The sequence below is a fragment of the Homo sapiens genome, chromosome 5 (genome assembly GCF_000001405.40).
Source record: "Homo sapiens chromosome 5, GRCh38.p14 Primary Assembly".
Classification (NCBI taxonomy): Eukaryota; Metazoa; Chordata; class Mammalia; order Primates; family Hominidae; genus Homo; species Homo sapiens.
Genome location: NC_000005.10, coordinates 112,767,984 through 112,780,773, shown reverse-complemented (window position 1 = coordinate 112,780,773; position 12,790 = coordinate 112,767,984). Strand labels below are relative to the sequence as shown.

The following is a 12,790-nucleotide window of genomic DNA, read 5'->3' as shown; positions in this document are numbered from 1 at the left end:
TAAAAAAGTATCAATATCTTGTATTTACGTTAATCAGTAAAAGCAAAAAAGCATATAAGAACCAATAAAGAAAATGAATAAGCAAATACGTCAGTCATGGTGCATGAGAAAATTATTTTTTACTCCAAGGAGTGTTTAAATTTGATTATAGGTGTCAGACTCAATCTGGATCCCTGATGTGACGTGGAATTCAAACACTTATTTGCCAAAGTCACAAGTGGCTTTAATTAGATTGGCCTATTTCACTTAAAATATATAATTGGTCCAGTTAGAGTGAGGTTAAATTCAGTTGCCTTATGACTCTTCTCTACTGAAGAGGCACTACTTTTAATTATTAAATACTAGCATATTAACGTGGACAACATAGAAATATCAAGAAACAAGTCCATCATTCTTAAGCTCATACTTCAACTTAAGGTAAGGATTACCATATACATACAGATTAAGTTGAGAGAACTTTTTCATTAATCAAATGAGGAATATGGGACAAGAAAAAGCCTACATGTAAGAAAGATAATCATAAATAGAGTAGATAAAGTCAACACAGACTTTGGTAAAAATTCAAAAGTAAAGCAAAGTTGAAACAAAAAGAGGTACTTCTTCAGAATGGGTAATAACTCATTCAAAAATTTATTAACCCTTTAATTAAAATTCCAAGGACTGTGATAACTGCCAAGCATGCAACAGGATTTTAAAAGGACAAGGTAATGAAACATATAAACCCATGCCCAAAAGGCAATAAAAGCTGATTAAATAAAATGATAGGTAACAGACTTATAATGGGCCATGAAGGGAATCAGGCAATGTTATAGATTTTCTGTGTGCCCTTAGAAAACTGTATATGACATATATCTGACTCAGAATGGCATTCTGGTCCAAGAACTCCAAATTGTGTTGTCAGTTGTAGTTAGATTAGTTCTCACCCTTTTCCCTTTGCAACATACAGATGACATTCATATGCAGAATGCATTCCCTTAGGCATACCCAAATTATGGGTTGCAATAGAGATGAAATAGTCTGCATGTTATTTCTTATTCCTACTGAGCCAGTTGTAACTCCACTTATTAGTCCTCCACTTCCCAAACCCTCTCTGCAAAAAAAAAAAATTGAACATGACACAGTATGTTGCAATAATGTGGTTTAGATCTGATGTTTTCAGTAATGTTTTGATAAGTAGGTATTTCCACATAAAGTGTTCATTAGCTTGGCTTCCCAACATAAATGCAAAATTTGTGAAAATAAAAAATACTTATAAAATACAAGCAGAGTTTAAATTTGCTGATGTTGCCAATGGTGCCTGATAATGTCTTATATATCATATTAAATAAATGTGATCTACTTAATAAATTAGTAGAGAATAATTAACTTGACAACTGATCTTTGTTTCAGATAGTAACCAAATACTCTTGAGTTGTCATGTACATTTAAGCTCTTTCCTGAACCTGACTTCATGTAGACAGTGGGATTCTGGATTTTTGTATATTCTCTAATGACCAAAATTAACGGTAAGCAAAACTACACTTTGGTATTTTTCTTCATAAGTTATAGTCCCAACAAATCCCCCAAAATTCCTAATCCTCACAGGCTAACAATAACTGTTCTCTCATTATCTGTGCTCCTTAATTCCCAGGAGCACTGTTAAGTGTTAACATGTTAAGGGCCCTCTCAGAAAAAGGGATCCTTTCTCTCTCAAAACCCTGAATGATTATTCTAGGAGAATGAGCACTTAAGCTTCCAGTTCCACCTCCTGTCAGCCAACGTCCACTCAGGAAACCTGGCTAGCTACATGTTTTCAAAACGGTTTTCTCTCTTTCAGTTTTTACCTTTTTGTCTATTTTGGTCTCTCAAAGTAGTAGTAGAAAATGAAAAATCTAAGCTAAGAGAGTACGTTATATTTTAATTAGTCTATTTTCTTTTAAAAAATTACATGTGGCTGGGCGCAGTGGCTCACACCTGTAATCCCAACACTTTGGGAGACCAAGGTGGGTGGATCACGAGGTCAGGATATCAAGAACATCCTGGCTAACACATCAAAACCTTGTCTCTACTAAAAGTACAAAAAATTAGCTGGACATGGTGGCATGCTGTAGTCCCAGCTACTTGGGAGGCTGAGGCAGGAGAATCGCTTGAACCTGGGAGTCAGAGGTTGCAGTGAGCTGAGATTGCGCCACTGCATTCCAGCCTGGGCGACAGAGCGAGACTCCATCTCAAAAAAAAAAAAAATAAGTTACGTGAAATATTTATGGATAATAGCTAAAATATGTAGTCTTGTTTGAGATTATATAATTTTCTTTTTTTTTTTTTTTAAATATAGAATACTTCATCAATTTCCATGTCATCCTTGAGCAAGGGCCATGCTAAACTCCTCTGCCTCATTCCAGTTTTAGGATATGTGCTGCTGACGCAGCCACTATAAATGTATTTGAGAAATATTCTTATATGTGCCATCCCATGAATAAAATCATTGACATGGAGAGGGAGAGGCTGACAGGATTAGAATTTTTTTTTTACAGAACACTGCAGACCTATAACCCAGAGCAGCTTGGAGGTGGTGAATATCAGCTCCTCAAGTCTGCAATAAAAAATGGCCTCCAATAAAACTACATTGCAAAAAATAGGAAACAAACAGAATGGAAAGAGTAAAAAAGATGAAGAGGCAGAGCCGGAAGAATCTGTGATGGAAAATGTACTAGACTGACGTGTAGTGAATAGGAAAGTGGGATATTTCCTTAAGCGGAAGGGATTTACAGATGTTGACAACACTTGGGAACCTAAAGAAAATTTAGATGGTTCAGGGTTAATTGAAGCATTTCTTAATTCTCAAAAAACTAGTCAAGAAAAAGATGGCACAAACAGAAAATCTTTATCTGACAGTGAATCTGATGACAGTAAATCAAAGAAGAGAAGGGATGCTGCTGACAAACTAAAAGGCTTTGCCAGATGTCTTGATCCTGAAGGAGTAATTGGTGCCACAGACAGCAGTGGAGAACTGCTGTTTCTCATGAAATGGAAGGATTCAGATTAGGCAGAGTTGCTGCTGGCAAAAGAGGCAAATATGAAGGGTCCTCAAAATGTAATTGCTTATAAAAGAGAAACTAACTTGGCATTCTTGTCCAGAAGATGAAGCACAGTAATTGTTCGCCCTGTTTTATATGGGTCTTGGTTTTTGATTTACTAGTGTGAAGAAATAACTACATTTTAATGAAAATCAAGTTTGGTATGTTTGTTTTGAAAGTAGTATTGGGAGAGTTGCTGTGGATTTTCTTTTGCATTAATTGCACTGGTCACTTTGAACAAATAAATAAAAGCTTTCTGTAGTTGCTTCCTTCATCAGAAAGAAAAATTAGATACCATGGTATATTATATCCACTGCATGAGAGAACAGCTTTTCTAAATATATTAGGGGAAATTTCCATAGCCATTACTCAATCAGAACTTCTGTTCTCATATGCCTAAGGACCATTCTGGGTTTCTTACTTGTTTTTTTTTCGTGTGTGTGTGTGTATAAAGAAAATGCACACGTAAATGTTTTCCTTTTTTATTGTTTTTAAACATTTACCAAAACAAAAATCACAGGTAATCCAATGTTTCTGAAATGCCATCATTCTGAACAATCTAAGAAAAATAAATCACTTCAAGTTAAATTGAAAAATTTCCTTAAGTCATACATTTCAAGTTAAATGAATGATTTTAATTGGACAATTTAAATTGGATAATTTTAAAGCAGCCATATCAGAATTCATATCTATAAATGCAATGGTTTGCAAAATTTCTAAAATGAAAAATGTTACCATTGCTAGCAACATCCAGATGAGGAAACCAGACAAATCCTAGTGTATTTTAATTAGCTAAACAAGACAGTTAAATGGACACTTAAAGATTCCTCTAGTGAGTCATTTATTTTTTTTTTTATTTTTTCTTTTTGTTTTGAGATGGAGTCTTGCTCTGTCACCCAGGCTGGATGGAGTGCAGTGGCATGAACTTGGATCATTGCAACCTCTGCCTCCCAGGTTCAAGTGCTTTTCCTGCCTCAGCCTCCCAAGTAGCTGAGATTACAGGCATGCACCACCATGTCTGGCTAATTTTTGTATTTACTTTAGTAGAGACAGAGTTTCACCATGTTGACCAGGCTGGTCTCGAACTCCTGGCCTTAAGTGATCCACCTTTCTCAGCCTCCCAAAGTGCTGGGGTTACAGGCATAAGCCTCCACCATGTTGAGTCATTTCTTAACAAAAAGTTGAAATCCCTGTGTTACACTGACTAAAAGGTTATGATTCATGGAATATCTAAGACTTGGCTCATGGAAACCTAATCAGATGGTTAGAGATGTTGGCAGTTTAGGACCTGCTGTCATAAATCGGTGAACAAACTTCTGTAATCTAAACTATTGACTTGCATGTTTTTTCTTTACTCCAACACATTCATTATATGCAGGTTCGATCTTTTCAGTATATGTTTTACTGGTTCAGCAGAGGCCAAGAAAAATAACCCTTTGTAGTAAATCAGAATGTTATTCAACTGCATACTGTTAATTTATTGTGAATACTGGTGGACAAAACAAACCAGCTTTAGTGCTTGCAAAAATGCTAATATCCGTGCTATAGCTATTGGCATTTATATCTAGAATATTTTCAGAGATATTTTTATTGCAAAAACTATTTGGCATGATTCCTGCAACACAGTACAAAAAATAGGCAGATGGTGATAAATATTTCTATAGAGTATGTTTGGCAATTCAATACACGGAGTTAAAAAACTAGTTGCCTAGTTGAACCCTGAGGTCCTCTAGAATTCAAACTTTATAGATTTTCTAAATAAGAGCTTTAAATAAAACATTTGAGCACAATAAAGTTTTATCATCTTTACCAACAAAAATTCATTAACTATTATATATTCAGGCCTAAAGTTGGGTAAAACATATTGCAATTTACAAATAACTATAAATTCAGTTATCCTGAATTTTAATGGATTACCTAGGTACTTTAAAATATCAAGTTATTAAAGTTTCAAATAAGTTGTACTGCCAAGTTACTTACATTTTCAGTTAAAGGAAGACTATCTATTCTTTTAGTGAGATTCTGAAGTTGAGCGTAATACCAGTCTTTTTCCTTTTCTTCTTTGTCAAGATCAGCAAGAAGCAATGACCTATTTTTTTTTTTTTAAAAAAAGGTACGTTTAAACAATGCTAATAAAGACTGCAGAAGAGCAATACTTACATCAGTTGTTATTGCAAACTTCTCTACCTAAAGTGCTAATAATGAATTACTCAAAAAATTTACATTGATTTCAATTTTTAAAGGTAGGACTTAGAATATTACAGTCATTAAAATTAGAGTATTAAAAAGAACTTTTTTTCTAAATAAACTGGTAATCATCCTTAAAAGAATACTTACACTTCACCAAAGGCTTTCTTCATATTTATAGTCTAAGAATATAATGATAGGTAAAAGATACACATATAACAAAACTCAAAATTAATATAAGAATAAAAAGTATAGTAAAGGAAATAAGAAAAGCAGCAATGATGCCCAGAAAACAAACCCAGAATATAAGAAGCTATTACTTTGGACACTGATGTGGCTTTCAGCTTCACAGCAGCCAAAATAATAAGAAATATACTGTCATTTTGAAATAAGAGGAAGTTATGACGGAGAAAAACTTCTTAGTTTGGAATCTGAACACCAAATGATGGTGTTCTCCATAGCAATCTGTACTAAGAAACTGTATACCTGAGCATTATAAACATAAATGCACAGTAAGAGTGTTACAGGGATAAAACTCAAGAGGTACAAAAAGTATATAATTTATCTCTTTTCACGTGGCTCTTTGCCAGAGCTACCACTGTTATAATTTTCTTAGGTATACTTCTAGAGCTATTCTATAAAAATACAAGGACATATGTGCATACTTATATGTACATTTTAAATATAAATTGTAGCATATTATTATAGTGTATGTTGTCCTGCAACTTTTTTTCACTTAAAAATTGATCCTGGGGGCCAGGTGTGGTGGCACATGCCTGTAATGCCAATACTTAGGGAAGCCGAGGCAGGTGGATCACTTGAGCTCAGGAGTTCAATACCAGCCTGGGCAACATGATGAAAACCCAAACCCCAAAATCCCATCTCTACAAAAAAATACAAAAACTAGCCAGGTGTGGTGGTGCATACCTGTAGTCCCAGCTACTTGGGAGGTTGAGCTGGGAGAATCACTTGAGCCCAGGAGGCCAAGGCTGCAGTGAGCTGAGATCATACCACTGCATTCCAGCCTGGGCAATGGACTCCTTTCCAAAAAAAAAAAAAAAAAAAATCGATCTTGCAGAACACAAATAGGCACAGGTTGAGTATCCCTTATTCAAAATGATTGTGACTAGAAGTGTTTTTGGATTTTGGAATATTTCTATTATACTTACCAGTTGGGCATCTCAAATCCAAAAATGCTCTAATTAGCATTTCCTTTGAGCATCATGTTACTCAAAAACTTTAGGATTTTGGAGAATTTTCTATTTCCAGATTTGGGATGCTCAATCTATACTAGGTATTTTTTTTGTTAGCTACATAATATTCCAAGAATTCCCTAGTATTCATAAATCTATGTAGGGATACACTACAACCAACTCTTAGTTGGAGGGTACTTAAGGCTTTTCTAATCTTTTGTTATTATAAACAATGCTGCATTGAATAGCCTTATACCTATACCTCATTTAATACATATACACTCATTTATATAAAAGAAATTCCTAGAATATATAAATTTTTAACTTACTGCCCTTGTGAGATGTTATACCAATGTATGCTACCATCATCACCAATTTAAGTGTTTAATTCAACTTTTTGCTTTTTCATGTCTAGTTTTTTTAAATGGTGTATCACTGGTTTTAATTTGATTTCTCTTACTATGAGTGAGATTAAACATTTTGTTCAAGTTTATAAACCATTTGTATTTCCTTTTCTGTGATTTTTCTTATTTGTAGGACCTTTTCTATATTAAAAATGATAGTGCTTTGTCAGTTGTTGGGCTGCATATAATTTTCTGAACTTGACACTTGTCTTTTTAACATTTTTTACTCAGTTGACCCTTGAATATGGGTGTGAACTGCATGGGTCCACTTATACAAGAATTCCCTTCCACTTCATTATGATTTTCTTAATAACATGTTTTCTCTAACTTAACATAGTATATAATACATATAACATACAAAATATTTGTTACTTGACTGTTTATGTTATCAGTAAGGCTTCAGGTCAATAGACAGGCAATCAGTAAAGTTTTCGGGCAGTCAAAAGTTATATATATATTTTTGACTGCACGTAGTGGGTGGGTACGCCAATCCCTGAATTGTTCAAGGGTCAACTGTAACGTTTTGCCATGTAGAAAATTTTGATTTCCATGCAGTCCGATTTGTAGATATTTTCTATTACAGATTCTGGAGTTTGGTCATACAGAGAGACGTTCCCCACTCTGATACTATTACTTTAAAAGTTCTGCTTGATTATTGTTTCTTAGGAAATATGGGAATGAATCTTAGTAGTGAGTATGTGGAAGGTTCTGTTCTTGCTAAAATGTATTTTCCTTTACTGAGAAGCAACTTAAAAAATAAGAAATAAGCTTTTGTTCTTATGTGGCAACCTTAATAGTGATGGACTGATTGGGAAGAAAGGAAGCCCCTGCTTATGATGTAGCATCCCTCAGAAAAGGCACACTAAAGACAAGCTGCTCTCTCCCTCCGATTTCTGACAACAGGAACAGGAGAAAGCACTGCAGAAAGCCTGAACTCCATTCACAGCTGGGTACCACAACTCCCATAAAGATGAGATTTAATTCTATTTTTCAGTTTTCCCTAGTGAGGACCTGCAGGACCTACCAGGTCCAAGGTGGGAAAAAGAATAAAATAGATGGTGATGCTACTATTTCCTCCATTACTTCCTAATAAATGAACTTATGAAATAAGAGTTGGGGCCAGGCACGGCGGGTCACGCCTGTAATCCCAGTACTTTGGGAGGCTGAGGCAGGTGGATCACTTGAAGTCAGGAGTTCGAGACCAGCCTGGCCAACATGGTGAAACCCCGTCTCTACTAAAAATACAGAAATTAGCTGGGCGCTGTGGCAGATACTCATAGTCCTAGCTGCTTGGGAGGCTGAGGCATGAGAATCTCTTGAATCAGGGAGGCGGAGGTTGCAGTGAGCCAAGATCGTGCCACTGCACTCCAGCCTAGGTGACAGAGTGAGATTTCGTCTTAAAAAAAAAAAAAAAAAAGAGCTGGGCATTAAAAGTGCTTAAATTGACAGGCCAATGTCAGTGGCAGTGTTGAAGTAAGGGGGAGGTTAGGGACACTAGGGACAATTTGCTACTATCAAGTTTAAGATTAACCTGTAGTAAAATACTCTGGGGAAGCCAAGGTTATAGTGTCTTCAGCTAAAATGATAGCAAGTGATTAAATTATGGTAGTTGACCTTGTGACTCACACAACAGCAGTTCATAAGGCTCAGAACTGAAACTAAGGCTAGACTCAGAACAGGCAGAGTCATTAGGGTTTAGTGTACTAAAGGCCTATTTTGTGATTGCCAATGGTCTTCTTTAAAAATGCTTTTTCACATAAATCTCATGTCTTCTTAGTCCTCTACCTTACTGGGGGTCACCTAGAAGAGCATGGCACATTTGTATTAGCATTCAATAAATATTTGTTAAATAAATTAATAGTGAACATGACAGCAACAATTCCTAACATTATTGAATGCTGTATGTACTGGGCATAGTGCTAAGGACTTTAAAAAAATCTAATTTAATCCTCATGATATCCTTTGAGGTCGTTATTCTCATGATCACTTTACTAACTAGAAAACTGAGGTTCAAAACCCAGCTTATAAAGCTACAAGCTGGGTTTAAGTCCTGGCTTAACCAACTTCTAGCATTTATCTTGAGGAGTACAGATAAAGGAAGAAGATATAAACTATGACTTTAAGAAGGTCTAGAAAGAAAGAACAGAAAAAACTAAAGGGGAAAATCATCAAAGAAGTAATATAACAGAAAAAAGCTGAATAAATAAATTTCCAGATCAAAAGGGTACAGTAAATATTCAGCATGATGAATGAGGAAAATATGCATACCAAAACATTCAAAAGCTTCCAAAGAGGAAAAATGGCCATCTACAAAGGAATAAGATTCAGACTGGTATCAAATTTCTCATTGGTACCTTGATAATGAAGAAAAATGAGTTTGAACCTAAACCTACCTGAACTATCAATCAAGTGTGAGAGCAAAATAAGTATACTATCACACAAGCAAGAAATCAATTTATCTCTCTCCAACACAGCAAGAGTCAAGAACACCCAAACATATTAGACCTAAATGGGAAGCATAATGACAACAGTGGTATGACAGTCTTGTAGCAGGCTCAGGAAGCAAATGGTACAAATTAGATCAGAAAAATTCATTGGCTCCAATAAAAATTTATTTATGAATAAAATGAAACTAGATCCTCATATTATCATAAAGGCACAAGTTTCTGCTCCCGAAAACATAAAAGAAAGGCAATTAGAAACTTGAGACAAAAACAAAGAGCTATATAAGAAAGACACAGTCCAAATAGCATCATCTTCCTTTAAACAGCACAAAGAGTATGATATTCTATCAATAGGGAGCAAAAATTAATTCTGGCATACTACTGACTCACAGTGTCCAACGACTACAGAGTCCTAAAAAAACCCACTTATTTCACATCAACATTATGCTTAATTTACAGAATAAAAAAACATGAAGACTTAAATATATATAGTATGATGTAACTGTTAACAGTCTTAACAAAATAAAGGTAAACACACAGTTGCCAAATCTTATACAGCGGGGCTTCAGTAGACACAGTCACTCACAGGAAAGAACAAGAAATAGAACTTATATATATGTATGTGTATTTGCTTATGTGTATATGTATACAAATTCGACCAAAGAATTGGTACAGAATTAAAAACTGGATGGATAATTGAGTGAATTTAACAAATCTTCATCTTTCAGAGTGGTGAGTCAGTAAGTCATGTCCAATACTAGCAATATAAACATATTATTTAGAGTTATAGAAGTAACTATCTCATGGGAAATGAGACTGAACATAGCAAAGGAATACTGATACTTTTCATTTATGATGCTTTATAAAGCTAAACTAGTGATACTAATGATCAGTGAGAGTTGAGAACCTTCTAACAACACCATGTTGATACCTCTTTCTCTCCAGATAAAGCAACTTTTTATAGAGTGTAATAAAGCCTGAATTAGAAGTTGGGCCATATTTTGGGAGAAAAACGAAAACAAAAACAAGACGTCTTTTCTACAGTAACAACAGAAAAGGCTAAAGCACCTTTAAATATTTTTAAAAAGAAATGTATTTTCCACTTGGAGTTAAAAGTCAGAATACTAGCTTAAAGTTACTTACAGTGGTATTATATAATAAATAAAACATGGGGATCATTGCATTTAAGTCTTTGAACAGAGAAATAAGCTTTTCCTAGATTTAGATGCAAAGAACTCTGGAAGACTAGCAAGAAATAATGTCAAGACAGAAACTAAGAACATTTTTATTACAAGTATTCCTTACCACTTACAGCTGTATTTGTTAGGTTTACTAGTATTTGCAGTAAAACTTATTTCAAAAATTAATATTTTTCTCTGAAATTCCCTCTCTCTGCTAATAAAATCAGGACTTTGCCTACATAAAGCAAAGTAAGGAAAAGAAAGCAAGTAAGGAAAGGTTAGTATGCATGCCCTCTGCCTCTTAATAGAGCTCAAAGGGGAAAAAGAGATGGAAGATTATGGACCCAAGTTCACTCCTTATTTTTCAAGATGGTGTTTCAATAGTCTAGGATCAATGTATGAAACAGAGACTTATGTAAACTTAAGAAATAAAAGACAGTGAAACATCATTTCTCGTCCAGATAATTATCCCTATTTTTATAAATGGGCATATATGAAACTGGAGAGAAAGTTATAAAAGGTCTTCTGCCTCTCAGGGAGATATGCTGGGCATTTCCTATATACTAATATTCAATTTTCACAACAATGCCACAAAGTAGAACCATATCTTTATCTTACAGAAGAAAATGGTACAAAAATTTAATGACTTAACCAAGGTCACAGAGATAATATGAAGCTTTTATATATTTTACCATTTTCTGAATGTCTAATAGAACTTTTAGAAATATAAAGATAATAAAGATATTCCTTAATATGTGCATTAAGGAATCTTTTAGGGGACATAAAACATTTGACGAAGTTCCTGATAATGATCTATATTTTGGTATCTGCAGTGAGATAATGTTAACTTTAGGAAGAGAAGAATTAATACACTAGCTGTGAAAAATCAGAACTCATTCCATACATCAAGCAATTTTTTTTCAGGTATTAAAACTTATACATTAAGAAATGTTTTGTTGGCCAGGCGCAGTGGCTCATGCCTGTAATCCCAAAACTTTGGGAGGCCAAGGCAGGCAGATCACCTGAGGTCAGGAGATCGAGACCAGCCTGGCCAACATGGTGAAATCCCATCTCTACTAAAAATACAAAAATTAGCCGGACGCGGTGGGGCGTGCCTGTAATCCCAGCTACCCGGGAGGCTGAGACATGAGAATTGCTTGAACCTAGGAGGTGGAGGTTGCAGGAGCCAAGATTGCGCCACTGCACTCTAGCCTGGGCGACAGGAAGACTCTTATCTCAAAAAAAAAAAAAAAAAAAAGAAGAAAAAAAAGAAAAATTTACTTTTTACTAACAGAAGTAAAAAGTAAATACTAGAGGCTAGGAAACACAGAGGGAAAGAAGAGATAAAGAGAGATTTGTTAAAGAATATAAAATTACAGCTAGATAGGAGGAATAAGTTCTAGTGTTCTACACTACTGTATAGGACTGTGTTCTACACTACTGTATAAGACTGTGTTCTACGCTACTGTACAGGACTGTGTTCTACGCTACTGTACAGGACTGTGTTCTACGCTACTGTACAGGACTGTGTTCTACGCTACTGTACAGGACTGTGTTCTACGCTACTGTACAGGGCTGTGTTCTACGCTACCATAGGATGAGCACAGTTAACAATATTACATAGTTTCAAATAGCTAGATGGTAGACAGTGAATGTTCCTAACACGAAGAAATAATAAATGTCTGAGATGACAGATATGCTAACCTGATTGCAATAAATTATATGTGTAGAAACATCACTATGTACCCCATGAAATGTACAATTATTATTTATAAAGTAAAAAAAAAAAAAAAAAGAAGTATTTCATTTGTGGCCACTTGTAGTGGGCCTTCCATAATGAAAAGAGTCATCTTTTACTGAATCTAGTAGTTACTGAATATACTTCAATAGATAATCAGAAATTCAATAAAAATCCAGTTACTACTTTTTTTCTTTTTTTTTTTTTGGTAAAGAGACAGAGTCTTGGCCAAGTGTAGTGCCTCATGCCTGTAATCCCAGCACTTTAGAAGGCCGAGGCAGGGGGGAATCACCTAAGGTCATGAGTTTGAGACTAGCCTGACCAACATGGTGAAACACTGTCTCTACTCAAAATATAAAATTAGCCAGGCGTGGTGGCACATGCCTGTAATCCCAGCTACTTGGGAGACTGAAGCAGAAGAATCGCTTGAACCTGGGAGGCAGAGGTTGCAGTGAGCCGAGATTGTGCCATTGCAATCCAGCCTGGGCAACAAAAGTGAAACTGCATCTCAAAAAAAAAAAAAAAAAGAAAGAGTCTTACTATGTCACCCAGGCTAGTCCTGAACTCCTGGCCTCAAGCAATCCTAC

General features: G+C 35.2%; 1 protein-coding gene and 2 pseudogenes across 37 annotated transcripts in view; 1 reads left to right on the top strand and 2 right to left on the bottom strand.

Annotated features, from left to right (window-relative positions):
* APC (APC regulator of Wnt signaling pathway) overlaps positions 1-12,790 on the bottom strand; it is a 138,742-nt gene that overhangs the window by 65,466 nt on the left and 60,486 nt on the right. For all 37 annotated transcript variants that reach the window (NR_176366.1, NR_176365.1, NM_001407470.1 and 34 more), the window contains one exon: positions 5,037-5,145. Coding sequence is in view for 31 of the 37 variants with exons in the window: in NM_001407447.1 (NP_001394376.1) it covers positions 5,037-5,145 (109 nt within the window). In the remaining 6 variants the exon portion in view is untranslated. The remainder of the gene's footprint in view (positions 1-5,036; positions 5,146-12,790) is intronic.
* Positions 2,305-2,411, bottom strand: RNU6-482P (RNA, U6 small nuclear 482, pseudogene; annotated as a pseudogene).
* Positions 2,515-3,331, top strand: CBX3P3 (CBX3 pseudogene 3; annotated as a pseudogene).